The following is a 13,620-nucleotide window of genomic DNA, read 5'->3' as shown; positions in this document are numbered from 1 at the left end:
GCCATAAAGTGACATGAGCAAAGAGCGATCTAGGATAACGTAAAAGTGCTGCATCCAGGATGGAGCCTAAGCATGTCTGGGGCAAAAGTAAGTTACACAAAGAGGCGGTCCAGACCCCATGTCATTCAGTGCCCTTGCATCCATTCTTCTCCCAAGCTTCTGTCCATGGCCCTGTGGGGTGCTCCCTATGACCAACTGATGGAGGAAACAATCTGGGCCTGGTTTGTGGAAGGTTGGACTTCTACTGCAGGACTGCCTGACTCAGAAGTGGCCCTGAAGTTTATGGTGAGCGCAAACTCTCTCCACAGAGCTTCTCCTTCACGTGGAGAAAAGTGCCCCAGGTAAGGATGCGCTTGGCCTCCTGAGCAGTGGCTAAGGCTTGCCTGGTTTGTCAGGACCCTGGAAGAAGTGATCTGCAAAGGAGTTTGGGAAAGAGGCCTGCGGGTGGACCTAGGGGAGTCACCCAGTGTGTGAGACTTTTGGTATCTTCATCGAGGCCCAGCCAGGAACATCCACTTTAGAGGAGGCACTGGATAAGCAGATGGTCAGCACGACTCACCTTGATGTCAGCCAGCCGCCGTCCTCAGCCAGCCCAGTGTTCACACCATGGGCCCACCAGGGGAATAACTTTGGTGGGAGAGGTAGAGGTTGTGAATGTGCCTGACAGCATTGGATCACTAAGGCTAATTTGACTCCTGCTCTGCCTGTCAGTAGCAGACACTAATACTGGGCTCCATGACATGGTACAACCTCTTTCTTTTTTTTTTTTTTTTTTTTTCGAGATGGAGTCTCCCTTTGTTTCCCAGGCTGGAGTGCAGTGGCATGATCTCAGCTCACTGCAACCTCCGCCTTCTTGGTTCAAGCAATTCTGCCTCAGCCTCCCAAGTAGCTGGGATTACAGGTAACTGCCACCACACCCGGCTCATTTTTGTATTTTTAGTAGAAACGGGGTTTCACCATATCAGCCAGGCTGGTGTCAGATTCCTGACCTCATGTGATCTGCCCGCCTCAGCCTCCTAAAGTGTTGGGATTACAGGCGTGAGCCACCGCGCCTAGCCAACATGGTACAATCTCTTGAGACCACTTAGGCACTTGGCAGCAAGTCGATTATGTTAGAGACTTTCCACCCTAGAAATATGTGGCAGTGATTTCTTTGTGACCAGAATTGGTATAGCTTCCAGATACGGGTTTAAATTTTTTGCCACTACTATCTAAGGGCACACAAAATGCCCAATTTATTGACAGGAGATCTTGCAAAACGCTGCCTTGCATGATGGGGCTCACTTCATAGCTAAGTAGGTGCAACAGTGGACACATCACCAAGGGATCCACTGGCTACGCCCCTCTCATGTCACAAGTCTTTCTCAGACTGCTTTTCCCCCATCAGCCAGTCTTCGTCCTCCCATGCTCCTCACCCCCCAGCCAAGTCCATGTATATTCGTATCCTGTCCTTGGGGCACATTTCCCTCCATACCGAGCGAAAGTTCTGCACACTGGAAGGCTTTCCCCTCACCGCCCCTTCTCAAGGTCACTTTCAAGTTGGGTTCTAGCACAGTAGCCGTCCATTTTTAGCTAAACCATCCTTGAGCCAGGTCCAGCTCCTGACCTGGAAGAATATTGGAGTGTCCTTTTAAAAGCATATCTTAGAGGGGCTGGTTAGCTCAGTTGGTTAGAGAATTGTGCTAACAAAAGCGTATCTTTTTTTTTTTTTTTTGGAGACAGGGTCTCCCTCTGTCGTCCAGGCCTGAGTGCAGTGAGGCCATAGCTCACTGCAATTGCAAACTCCTGGGTTCAGGTGATCTTCTCGCCTCAGCCTCCTGAGAAGCTCGTACTACAGACACATGCCACTGCACCTGGTGAATTTTTATTTTTTTTTTAAAGTAGAGGCCAGGTACGGTGGCTCACTCCTGTAATCCCAGCACTTTGGGAGGCTGAGGCAGGTGGATTGCCTGAGGTCAGGAGTTCGAGACCAGGCTGGCCAACATGGTGAAACCCCATCTCTACTAAAAATACAAAAATAAGCCAGGCATGGTGACGGGCACCTGTTACCCCAGCTACTCGGGAGGCTGAGGCAGGAGAATTGCTTGAACCTGGGAGGTGGAGGTTGCAGTGAGCTGAGGTCATGCCACTGCACTCCAGACTGGGTGACAAGAGCAAAACTCCATCTCAAAAAAAAAAAAAATAGATAAATAAAATAGAGACAAGGTCTTGCTGTATTGCCCAGGCTGGTAAAAGCACATCTGAGCCCCCAGCTTGAGAGGACACCTCTGGGGTTGGCTTACTGTCCTTTAGGGAACAGTACATACCTTGGAACCAACCATCATCACATGTGCTCTGCCCCTGAGGGGTAGCACATGGACATCTGGGAACCAACGCCTAGAAGTAGGAGTGGCCCTTCTCACTATCACCTTCAGGGACCCACTTGGGAAATGCAGGCTTCCTATACTTGTAACTTTATGTCTGCTGGGTTGTTGAGGGTTTGCAGGGAGGACACTTTCAATAGGGAATACAATACAGTTTCCATAGTACCTAAAGCTGTAGGTGCCAACTGGTGGGGTCATTTGGTCTCCTCCTGGCAGTGGACAGCAGGCAATGAGGAAGTCAGTGCGCTGATAGGTGACAGGTTGTCATGAAGAGACAGGCTTACTGCTACATGATGGGGGCAGAGAGGTGCATGTTTAGAACCCACTAGGGCACCTCGGCTGGGCGCCATGGCTCACGCCTGTAATCCCAGAACTTTGGGAGGCTGAGGTGGGTGGATCACCTGAGGTCAGGAGTTTGAAACTAGCCTGCCCAACATGGTGAAACTCTGTCTTTACTAAAAATACAAAAATTAGCCGTGTATGGTGGTGGGTGCCTGTAGTCCCAGCTGCTCAGGAGGCTGAGGCAGAAGAATCTCTTGAACTCGGGAGGTGGAGGTTGCAGTGAGCCAAGATCGCGCCATTGCACTCCAGTCTGGGTGACAAGAGTGAAACTGCATCTCAGAAAACAAAACAAAAATACAACCCACATGCCACCTCTTAGACTGTTCTGCACTTATAACAGTGAATAGACAATTACAGCAACTACAGTGTGACCAGGGGGTGACAACTAGGGGTGCAGGCTCCTCAGAGATGACCCATCAGACAAATACTGGCCTAGAATGAGGGAAATTTAGAATGGAGAGTAGAGGAGAAAGGTGAAAATCAGTTACAGTCTGAGGACCAACCAGTAGAAACTTGTTCCACTCATCTTTCTCTTCAAAGCTTTTTCTTCTAGAAATTGTGACTAGCCCCTGTCGCAGAGGATTACCTTGACAGGCACAAATGGATCTGGCTGGTACAATGGGTGGGCAGTACTCTACCCATGTCCCCTGTGACCTTGAACCATTTTTGGGCACACTAGTTCCTGAGGGTTTTCTCTCCCAACAGTCAGGAGCCACATCTCTTTGTTGGAGGGCTGCCCTCCAGCGGCCAGAGCTGGAAATGCCTGAGAACGTATATTCCCTTGGGGCCGCCCTTGGCCAATAGTTGATGGCTACTGGGGTATAAATTCTCTGCTCTTTTGCTGCTAATTAGGACAGTTCTCAAGTGTGACCTATGTTGTCTCCAGAGCTCTCTCTGGGATTGAGTTGAAGGTACTCTATATGCGACTTTGACATTGTTACCCTTACTTGGCCTCCTCGCCTTCCTATCCCTAATTCTCCATTCCTTTACCATTTTTTCCTAATAAATTACTTTTACATGAATTATTACCATTATTATTATTATTTTGAGATGGAGTCCGGCTGTGTTGCCCAGGCTGGAGTGCAGTGGTGTGATCTCAGCTCACTGCAATCTCTGCCTTCCAGGTTCAAGTGATTCTCCAATCTCCACCTTCCAGCTTCAAGTGATTCTCCTGCCTCAGTATCCCGAGTAGCTGGGATTACACCAGGCCTGGCTAATTTTTGTATTTTTAATAGAGATGGGGTTTCACCATATTGGCCAGGCTCGTCTCAAACTCCTGACTTCAAGTGATCTGCCTGCCTTGGCCTCCCGAAGTGCTGGGATTATAGGTGTGAGCCACCGCGCCCAGCCCACTTTTACATGAATTCTTGTCTGGACACTTTCAATAGGGAATACAATATGGTTTCCACCATACCTAAAGCTGTCGATGCCAACTGGCCAGGTCATTTGGTCTCCTCCTGGCAGTGGACAGCAGGCAATGAGGGAGCCAGTATGCTGACAGGTGACAGGTTGTCATGAGAAGGCAGGCTTACTGCTACACAACGGGGGTAGATAACTTAAGCTAAGACATTTTCTTAGGTGTTTGAAGTGAGAGAACCAGATGTGTTAATTTTGTAATCAGAGTTTAAGTGTCTAAGGGAATTTAATTTTCTAAGTCATGTTAAACATTTAAAGATGATTTGGTCAGGTAAGAGTTCATCGAAATATTAATAAAGGGACAAAAAGAAGTGGCTGTTCTTTTTCATAAAAAATTAGTTAGGTTTATAAATAAAATAGCCAGATTTAAAAATAGAGCTTCAAGTTTTAAAATAAATTAGGTTTCTAATTCATAGCTAATACAGTTGACTTGAAGAAAATAAATATCTTTAGAAATTGCTTTTCAGGTTGGAGAGTCCTTTTTAAACAGCAGAAGCTCATTATATTTCAAAAAAATAAATATTGAATGAATAAATTCCAGGCTTAACTTTATGCTTATAAGTTTCTGTAGTTATATTCTTCATTGTAAGTGTGAATTATCAAAAATATCCAGCAAGGTATATAAAGTACTCAAGTCAATATCAAAATGTCAAGCCTGAACTAAAAATTAGAAGCACTCAAACCAAAATTGACAAATGGGATCTAATTAAACTAAAGAGCTTCTGCACAGCCAAAGAAACTATCATTAGAGTGAATAGGCAACCTACAGAATGGGAGAAAATGTTTGCAATCTACCCATCTGACAAAGGTCTAATATCCAGAATTTACTAGGAGCTTAAACATATTTACAAGAAAAAACGAACAACCCCATCAAAAAGTGGGCAAAGAATATGAACAGACACTTCTCAAAAGAAGACATTTCTGCAGTCAACAAACATATGAAAAAAAGCTCAACATCACTGATCATCAGAGAAATGCAAATCAAAACCACAATGAGATACCATCTCATGCCAGTCAGAATGGCGATTATTAAAAAGTCAGGAAACAACAGATGCTGGAGAGGATGTGGAGAAATAGGAACTCTTTTACACTGTTGGTGGGAATGTAAATTAGTTCAACCATTGTGGAAGACAGTATGGTGGTTCCTCAAGGATGTAGAACCAGAAATACCATTTGACCCAGCAATCCCATTACTGGGTATATACCCAAAGGAATATAAATCATTCTACTATAAAGACACATGCACACATATGTTTCTTGCAGCACTATTTACAATAGCAAAGACATGGAACCATATGGCACATATACACCATGGAATACTATGCAGCCATGAAAAGGAATGAGATCATGTCCTTTGCAGGTACATGGATGAAGCTGGAAGCCATCAACCTCAGCAAACTAACACAGGAACAGAAAACCAAACACCTCATGTTCTCACTCATAAGTGGGAGTTGAACATTGAGAACATATGGGCACAGAGAGGGGAACAACTTACACTAGGGCCTGTTGGGGGTGGGGGGTGATGGGAAGGAACTTAGAGGACAGGTCAATAGGTGCAGCAAACCACCATGGCACACGTATGCCTATGTAACAAACCTGCACCTTCTGCACATGTATCCCATTTTTTTTTAGAAGACATAAAGAAAAAAAAATTAGAAGCACTCATAAATTATCCCAGGTACTCATTTACCAAACTAGGCAACTAATTACAGTTATGCTCATCAATGCATATAAAATAAGTAGTTCAACATTAAAATGAATCTATAAAAAGGTGCATCAATAATCATAAATGCAAGATATCATTACATCGCATTCTGGTAATCATCTGAGATAACTACAATTTTAAAATCTGGAATTTCACCTTGAAAGGTGAGATAAATACAGTTGAATATATTTTCAGGTGTGTCTGTTCCTAAGTGCAATTTTCAGTTTTACTGAAGAAAATGAAGGCAGAATTCAGAAAATGAAATACAGCAGTATTCATTTTATTACGAAAACAGGTAGTGAAAATTTTATTGGCATTTTCCTAACTGTATAAAACTTAGTAAAACACTTCATGCTTTAAGAAACATTTCTGTTCTTGATAAAAATTTAGGGCTTGAATGCTTATCTTTGGTAAATTACTTTTACCTTCTGATTATGATAACAGATCTCTCACAGCTTAAAGCAGAATTCCTCTCTATTTACTTAGGTCTTTGATTTTACAACAAAGTGAGGGCTGAATATAAATATTCTTACACGTCCCCCTTTCTCTGGGGAAGCAAAGGAGAATGAATTATAGGGGAGAAATGTGGAAGTATAAATATAACTCTGTCTAAATTATTTGGCAGTTATGTTAGTCTGTATTTTAAAAACCTAAAAAAAGTAAACATTCAAGTTTGTTCCTCAGTACATGAATTTTGAAGCAAATTTATAGTTTTTTTTTCCACAGAGAACCACGCATGTCGTATCTGTTAAATTTTGTTATGTAGTTATTCAGAAATATTGGAAAAATAGACCAGGTAAGCAAGTATAGGCAATCCTAAATTCTAATTTATGTAATCACAATGTAATTATAAATATTGTTAGATTAGAAATATTTCAGAAACAGATTTTTCTCTTTCAGTTCAAAAATATTTCTATGAGCATATATTAACGGAATATGTCCTAATTGAATAAATATAGGTCCTACTTTAAGGAAGTTCATTCTTTCTCTCGCTCTCTCTGTCTCTCTCCGCATCTGAAAGGGAAAAGCTGGTCTGTGGTGGACGCAGCAGATTTTATAGGCAGGCTTGAGGAGGCAGTGTCTGATTTACATAGGGCCCCCAGATTGGTTCAACCAGGTGTGACATTTACATTGTGGCAGGGAAGGCTGGTTGCCCCACCCTCATCTTACTTTGCAGATGGACTTTCCACTCAGCCAGCGCCATCTTGTCTGCGCCATACTGTACACGTGGCTGGCACAAAGAGACGATGGAGCTGCCGTTTTGAACATGCCTAGTCCCAGGTAGCCTTTTCCATTGGCACAACTGCTGGCATTCACCTGTGCAAGCTTCCAGCTTGCTTGCCTATGTTTGCAGCTCGATTTTACAGGGTGCTCTTTGTTAGAAAAGTAAATGATTTGGGGGGCTGCTTTTTATTAAAAGGAAAACCTTAGCAAGGAATCCCGTATCCTCACTATCTGCCTAAGTAATTTCTTTTTAACTCCTGTATCAGAACTCATATGAATATGTGATTAATTCACTTTCAGATTTTTTTTGAGACAGTCTCGCTCTGTCACCCAGGCTGGAGTGCAGTGGCGTGATCTCAGCTCACTGCAACCTCTGCCTCCTGGGTTCAAGTGATTCTCCTGCCTCAGCCTCCAGAGTAGCTGGGGCTACAGGCGTACCCTACCACGCCTGGCTAATTTTTGTATTTTTTGTAGAGACGAGGTTTCACCGTGTTGGCCAGGCTGGTCTCGAAACCCTGGCCTCAAGCAATCCACCCTCCTCGGCCTCCTAAGGTGCTAGGATTACAGGAATGAGCCACCGCACCTGGCCCCAGAAATATTTTTCTGGTGTTTTGCAATGCCGGGGATGGTAGTTAAACTGGTCATGCCCTCCATACAGTGACTTAACTAGCTGGTGTACACACGTACAAGCAATGAAGACATCTTCCCAGCTGTTTTGATTTTGTGTTTGTTTTTATCTTTTAGTTTAACTTCACTTAGCAGTAATAAAGACATTCTTCTATGTTATATTTTAGAAGTTTTATAGTTTTTCTCTTCATCTTTAGGTCTTTATTTCCTTTTGAATTGATTTTGGTATGCAATCTATCTTTATATAGGGGTCCAGTTGCCCCAGGATTATCTATTGAAAAATCCTTCTTTTTTTCCTGTCTGCCGTTCCGCCTCTGTCCCTGATTGAAAACACCTTTATAAAATTATGACTGACACAGCGAAAGAGATCTAACATGACCAGCTCCATCTTGGTTCTAACCTTTAGGCTGTCCTCATTCCTTCCTGGGCATAGGCTGAACTAACTTTGGGAGAAACTTAGTTTATAGTTTAAAACAAAGATGATAACAGCCCTTTCCCAAAACAAACCTCCTTCTTGCCTGGGAACTAGACTGCCTTTGTAGGACTAACAAATTAGCCACAAGATTAGAACTTATGGTTTAGGAGTCATGCTGCTGGAGACTACAAGATTCTGACCCTCCCTAAACTGCTCCTAAGATCAGTGCTTGAGATATTTTGCAGACTCTACACTTGATGGGTCAGCTGGCACCACCCAGATTGATAAATTGGCCCATCTGATTTTGTGGGCCCCACCCAGGAACTGACTCAGTGCAAGAGGACAGCTTCAACTTCCCATGATTTCATCTCCTACCTAACCAATTAGCACTCCTGGCTCACTGGCTTCTGGCTTCCTCCCACCCACCAAGTTGTCCTTAAAAACTCTGCTCCCTGAATTCTCAGGGAGACTGATTTGAGTAATAACAAAACTCCGGTCTCCCACACAGCTGGCTCTGAGTGAATTACACTTCCTCTATTGCAATTCCCCTGTCTTGATAAGTTGGCTCTGTCTAGGCAGTGGGCGAGGTGAACCCATTGGGCAGTTACATTATCAAGTCTCTATAAGTATGGGGGTCTGTTTCTGCCTTCTGATCTGTTTTATTAGTGTGTTTGTCTCTGAGACAATGCTATACTGGCTTAATTCTTAAAGCTTTGTAATATGTTTGGAAAGACGATAAAAGCAAATCTTTCCATGTTTCTTTCCTACATCTTAAGGAATGAATTGGCTATTCTTGGACGTTTGCATTTACACATACATTTTAGGATCAGTTTGTCAGTTTTTTCAAAAGCAAAAAGCTGCTGTGACTTCGTTTAGAATTACATAAAATCTATCAATCAATTTAGTGATTAAACTGGAATACTAAGTCTTAACAATTCTTGAACACAGTGTATCTCTGCATTTTAAAAAATCTTTTTCAATGTCTCCCAAAACAAACTTAATTTTCTCTGTAGAGGTCTTACACATCTTCATATCTGGAAATGTCATAGTTTTTGATGTTATTATAAGTGATGTCTCTAAAATTTAATTTTCTGATTATTTGCTACTTATAAGTTGGACTACAATTCATTTTGATATGTTGATTTTGTGTCAAGCCAAAGAGATAAATTCTGCTATTAAGTTTAATAACTAATCAGTGGGTAAATTTGGACTTAAGTACATAGTTTTAGTGTAAATCTTCTGAAAGTTTTCCCTTTCTTTTCAATTTCTTTTTCTTTCTTTATCATGTTAGCTAGAATGTCCAGTAGAGAGTTGATTAGAAGAGTTGATAACAAGCAGCCTTGTTATATGCTGATCCCAAAGCCTATAAGTGTTTCAACTGTAAGCATGATATTTACTGTACATTTTTTTGTAGATGTCCTTATCACATTAATGTTTACTCTATTCCCAATTTGCTATGGATTTTAAGCATAGAGATTAATTTTGGTCCAGCACAGCAGCCTGTAATTCCAACATTTTGGGAGGCCAAGGCAGGGAGATCACTTGAGGCCAGGAGTTGGAGACCAGCCTGGCTAACATGGTGAAACCCCATGACTACTAAAAATACAAAAATTAGCCAGGTGTGGTGGCCTACACCTGTAATCCCAGCTATTTGAGAGGCTGAGGTGGGAGGATCGCTTGAGCCTGGGAGGTGAAGGTTGCAGTGAGCCGAGATTGTGCCACTGCACTCTAGCCTGTATAACAGAGTGAGACTGTCTAAAAAAGAAAAAAAAAAAAAAGAAGAGAGATTAATTTTGATTTTGATCAAAGCTGTTTTTCTGTATTTATTTATTGACATTTTTCTTCTTTAATCTGTTAGTGTTTATATGAATTAATTTTGCAATGTTAAATCAACCTTCAATTCCTGGGATAAACCCAGTTTGATTTTTATATATTTATGTATTTTATCTTTTCTCATTTTATTTTGAGACAGAGTTTTGTTCTGTTGCCCGAGCTGGAGTGCAGTGGTATGATCACAGCTCACTGCAGCCTTGAACTCTGGGGCTCAATTGATCTTCCCACCTCAGCCTCCCGAGTAGCTGGGACTACAGTCATGAGCCACCGTGCCTGGCCATATTTACATATTTTTAATATATTAATGAATTCAGTCTAATTTTGTTTTTCAGGATTTTTGTATCTATGTTCAAGAATGAAATTGGCATCAAACTTTCCTTTCTTGCACTATCTTCACTGAGTTTTATGTTGAGGTTATGCTAGTGTCATAAAAAATTATTTAGAGTTGGGGATTGTGTCCCCTTCCTCATTTATAAATCTCTAGAAGAGTTTGTGTAATACCACAAATATTCTTTCTTGACAATTTGTTAGAACTCATGGTTGCCACGAGTTGGGTGCCCAGCTAATTTTTGTATTTTTAGTAGAGGTGGGGTTTTGCCATGTTGGCCAGCTTGGTCTCGAACTTCTGACCTCAAGTGATCCGCTCACCTTGGCCTCCCAAAGTGCTGAGATTAGAGGCATGAGCAACCACACCCAGCCTTGGGAATTTCATTAGACATTATTATTACCAATTTACATAGTATTACTTAATCAATGTTCATGGACAATCAGCTACAGATGATCTGTTTCTTTGTTCTTTATGCCTTCATACTCTTCAGACCAGCTGTCTTGAGTCACTTTCTCTCTGCCTGAGTACATCCTTTAGTAATTCACTTAGAGTCTGAAAAAAGACAAATGCTGATAGTTGGGTTTATTAGGATCCACCACCTGAGATGGGAATGGAATAAGAACCTTGAGTTCTAGAAGGGGCACTATTTTACTCTACTCAAAGTTGAAATCACGGTCTCTACACTTTGCATTTTCCCAGTGTCTGAGGCGCATGGCCCCGGGAGAGGAGGAGAATGGGACGGTGGTTCAGATCTGCTGATGTAGCTGTGGTCAGTCACTGGGGAGAATAGGCCTGTGGATTTCTGCTCCTCTGAGATGGATCCATCACTGACTACTGAACTTGTTTTCTCATTGGCTCAACTTAAGAAGGTTCTAGAGGTGAGAAAAGAGTTCACAAATCCATTGGTCTGAATGAGGTGAATTTCTGAGATATGCTTTTATTTTGGAGAACAGTATACACATTTAACTTCTATTTTCAGTGTAGAAAAAATGTCTATCATGGTTTTTGTCACTCTTATTAAACACAGAAAGGGTAAAATGCAGTTATGGTTATAGGTTCTCAGTTATGCCTGAAAAAAAACTGAAGTAAAATTTAATTTATTAAAAATGATCAGGAAATCTTCCCACTACCATGTAGGATCAAGGACGTGAAACAACCAAAACCAAAGAGCAGCTGGAGACCACTTGCCAGTGATTAGCACGAGGTAAGCTGCAAAGAACTTTGAATTAGGTCAGTCTAAATAATAGGGCGTTTTTCAAGTCCTTGCCTTGGGAAGATCAGGAACACGGTGAATAATTGGGATTACCTTTGTCTCACTAAGAGCCAAACCCCAGGTGTTGTAAGGCTACAAAGCTATCTCATTGTCTTCCTGTATCATCCAACGCTGAGATCCTCTGTGACATTTTAAATTGCTTATGTAGCAAAGCAAATGGAGTACAGTATTCAAACATAGTTTTGTGTTTGTAGAGAACATAAGAAGCTGAAAATATGAATGGATTCAAAGTGCATGTAGAAAAAAATGTGTCTGCTATCTTTGTGATTTGTTGCTAAGGAAATGTTTCATAGAGTATTAGTACTGGACGAGCCCAAAGAAATAATAATATGAAGCCATGTGATATTTGGGATCCACTTACACTAAAAATTATTGTTTATTACATTTACATTATATTATTTGTTCTTTATCTGAAATCCGAATTTACCAGAGCGTCTTTTGTTTTTATTTGCTAAACCTGGCACCCCTATTGAAAATCCTGCTCCCCAGGCTTCAGCAATATCTCACTATGTAGAAAAAGTTAGGTTAAAGTTGAATTGTCTGCTATTTTAGAATGTCTAAATATATTCAGAAGGCAAACTATTGGAAGATTTTTTTTAAGCTCATTTTATATTCAAAACTTAGAAATAAGGCTCAAGGAGGAAGGCGTGTCCTTCCAATGTCATTTTGGAGCATTGTTGAATAGGTCTATCTGAAGATTATTTAAATATTTAGGGCAATGTTCTTGTTTGTCCCGCGATCTATTAATGATTAAAGGGCCGAGGTCTGTGAAGTTACATGTTATCGTGAGGTATTTGTCTGGCAGTGATGCAAATCAATTCTGTCTGGTAGAAAAGATAACCTAAAAGGTTATAATTACTGCTTTAGTGCGTTGCAGGATATTAACTTGTTTTGTATAACCTAGGGCTCTTATGCTAACATTTTTTTCATTTTTTTAAAAATAAAATCTTTAAAACTTTAAAGCAGTTTTTTTTTTTTTTTTTTGTAAATCTAAAACAGTTTTAGATTTACAAAATTTGTGAAGATAATACATGACAGAGCAGGAGTATTGCCATCTTGGACAAGCACTGTCATTTTAAGTTCACGTTGATCAAAAACTGCCTAAATCCAAAGGGGATCAGCCTATGACTGTAAACCACAAATGACATCTCTGACCAGAAACATTCCAAATCCCTCCCTGACCAGAGATGTGCCAGCCCTGAGACAACCTTCCCACTGGCCAGAAAGATGTCAGCCCCAAAGATAACCTCCCCTCCACCCAGAGGCATTCCAACCCTGCCATAAACTTCTCCCCTACACGAACATATTCCAAGCTTGTGATAAACCCCCTCACCCTAAAACCAATATATACTCTTAGTCTGTAAGAGAGGGTGCTCCTGACTGAAATTGGCCAGAAGCCCCTCTCAGGTTTTTTTCCACAAAAATAAACCTATCTTTGACTGTTAAGCACGTTTCATGTTTCTTTCCTTTTTCTTTAACTCTTATGGTACAGAGGGTTGCTACTTGCCTCATCCCCACTTTTTCCTATTATTAAGCTTATGTTAATATGGTGCATTTGTCACAACTGACGAACATTGATATATTATTATTAACTAAAGCCCATACTTTATTCAGATTTCCTAATGTCCTTTCTCTGTTCCAAGATCCCATCCAAGTTACTGCATTATAAATAGTAGTCACTGCCTGGGTGCAGTGGCTTACACCTGTAATCCCAGCACTTTGGGAGGTCAAGATGGGCGGAACACCTAAGGTCAAGAGTTTGAGACCAGCCTGGCCAACATGGTGAAACCCTGTCTTTACTAAAAATACAAAAAATTAGCTGGATGTGGTGGTACATGCCTGTAATCCCCACTACTTCGGAGGCTGAGGCAGGAGAATTACTTGAACCTGGAAGGTGGAGGTTGCACTGAGCTGAGATCATGCCACTGCACTCTAACCTGGGTGGCAAGCGAGCTCTGTCTAAAAAAAAAAAAAAAAAAATAGTAGTCACTAACATTCTTTTCTCAAATACCTATAAATATCCATTTCCTCAAATGTTCCTTGAGCCAGTTTTGCCATCTTGCTAGTTCTCTTATTAATGGGTAGAAAAAAAAT

The 13,620-nt window shown here is 41.4% G+C and overlaps 1 long non-coding RNA gene across 2 annotated transcripts in view, besides 3 other annotated features; it reads left to right on the top strand.

Annotated features, from left to right (window-relative positions):
* Positions 3,300-3,594: an enhancer, noted in NCBI's record as "tiled region #1537; K562 Activating DNase unmatched - State 12:CtcfO". NCBI's record gives its function as "activates a minimal TATA promoter and a strong SV40 promoter by Sharpr-MPRA in K562 cells {active_cell/tissue: K562}" and the evidence as "EXISTENCE:reporter gene assay evidence [ECO:0000049][PMID:27701403]".
* Positions 6,421-7,620: an enhancer, noted in NCBI's record as "CDK7 strongly-dependent group 2 enhancer chr7:148268703-148269902 (GRCh37/hg19 assembly coordinates)". NCBI's record gives its function as "activates an origin of replication core promoter dependent on BRD2, BRD4, P300/CBP, MED14 and CDK7 cofactors, with strong dependence on CDK7, by STARR-seq in HCT116 cells {active_cell/tissue: HCT116}" and the evidence as "EXISTENCE:reporter gene assay evidence [ECO:0000049][PMID:35650434]".
* LOC124901766 (uncharacterized) overlaps positions 7,000-13,620 on the top strand; it is a 28,671-nt gene continuing 22,050 nt past the window's right edge. The window contains exons 1-3 of one of the 2 annotated variants that reach the window (XR_007060578.1): positions 7,000-7,107; positions 10,953-11,131; positions 11,391-12,488. This is a non-coding gene — a long non-coding RNA (uncharacterized LOC124901766). Of the gene's footprint in view, positions 7,108-10,952; positions 11,132-11,390; positions 12,489-13,620 lie in introns of those variants that run through there. The other variant, XR_007060577.1, reaches the window with a different exon arrangement.
* Positions 11,104-11,912: an enhancer, noted in NCBI's record as "OCT4-NANOG hESC enhancer chr7:148264411-148265219 (GRCh37/hg19 assembly coordinates)". NCBI's record gives its function as "activates a minimal SCP1, AML or CMV promoter by ChIP-STARR-seq in naive and primed H9 embryonic stem cells {active_cell/tissue: H9 hESC(naive and primed)}" and the evidence as "EXISTENCE:reporter gene assay evidence [ECO:0000049][PMID:30033119]".

Source organism: Homo sapiens, chromosome 7, assembly GCF_000001405.40.
Source record: "Homo sapiens chromosome 7, GRCh38.p14 Primary Assembly".
NCBI lineage: Eukaryota > Metazoa > Chordata > Mammalia > Primates > Hominidae > Homo > Homo sapiens.
Note: the sequence above shows the minus strand (reverse complement) of the source record. Positions and strands in the feature narration are given on the sequence as shown.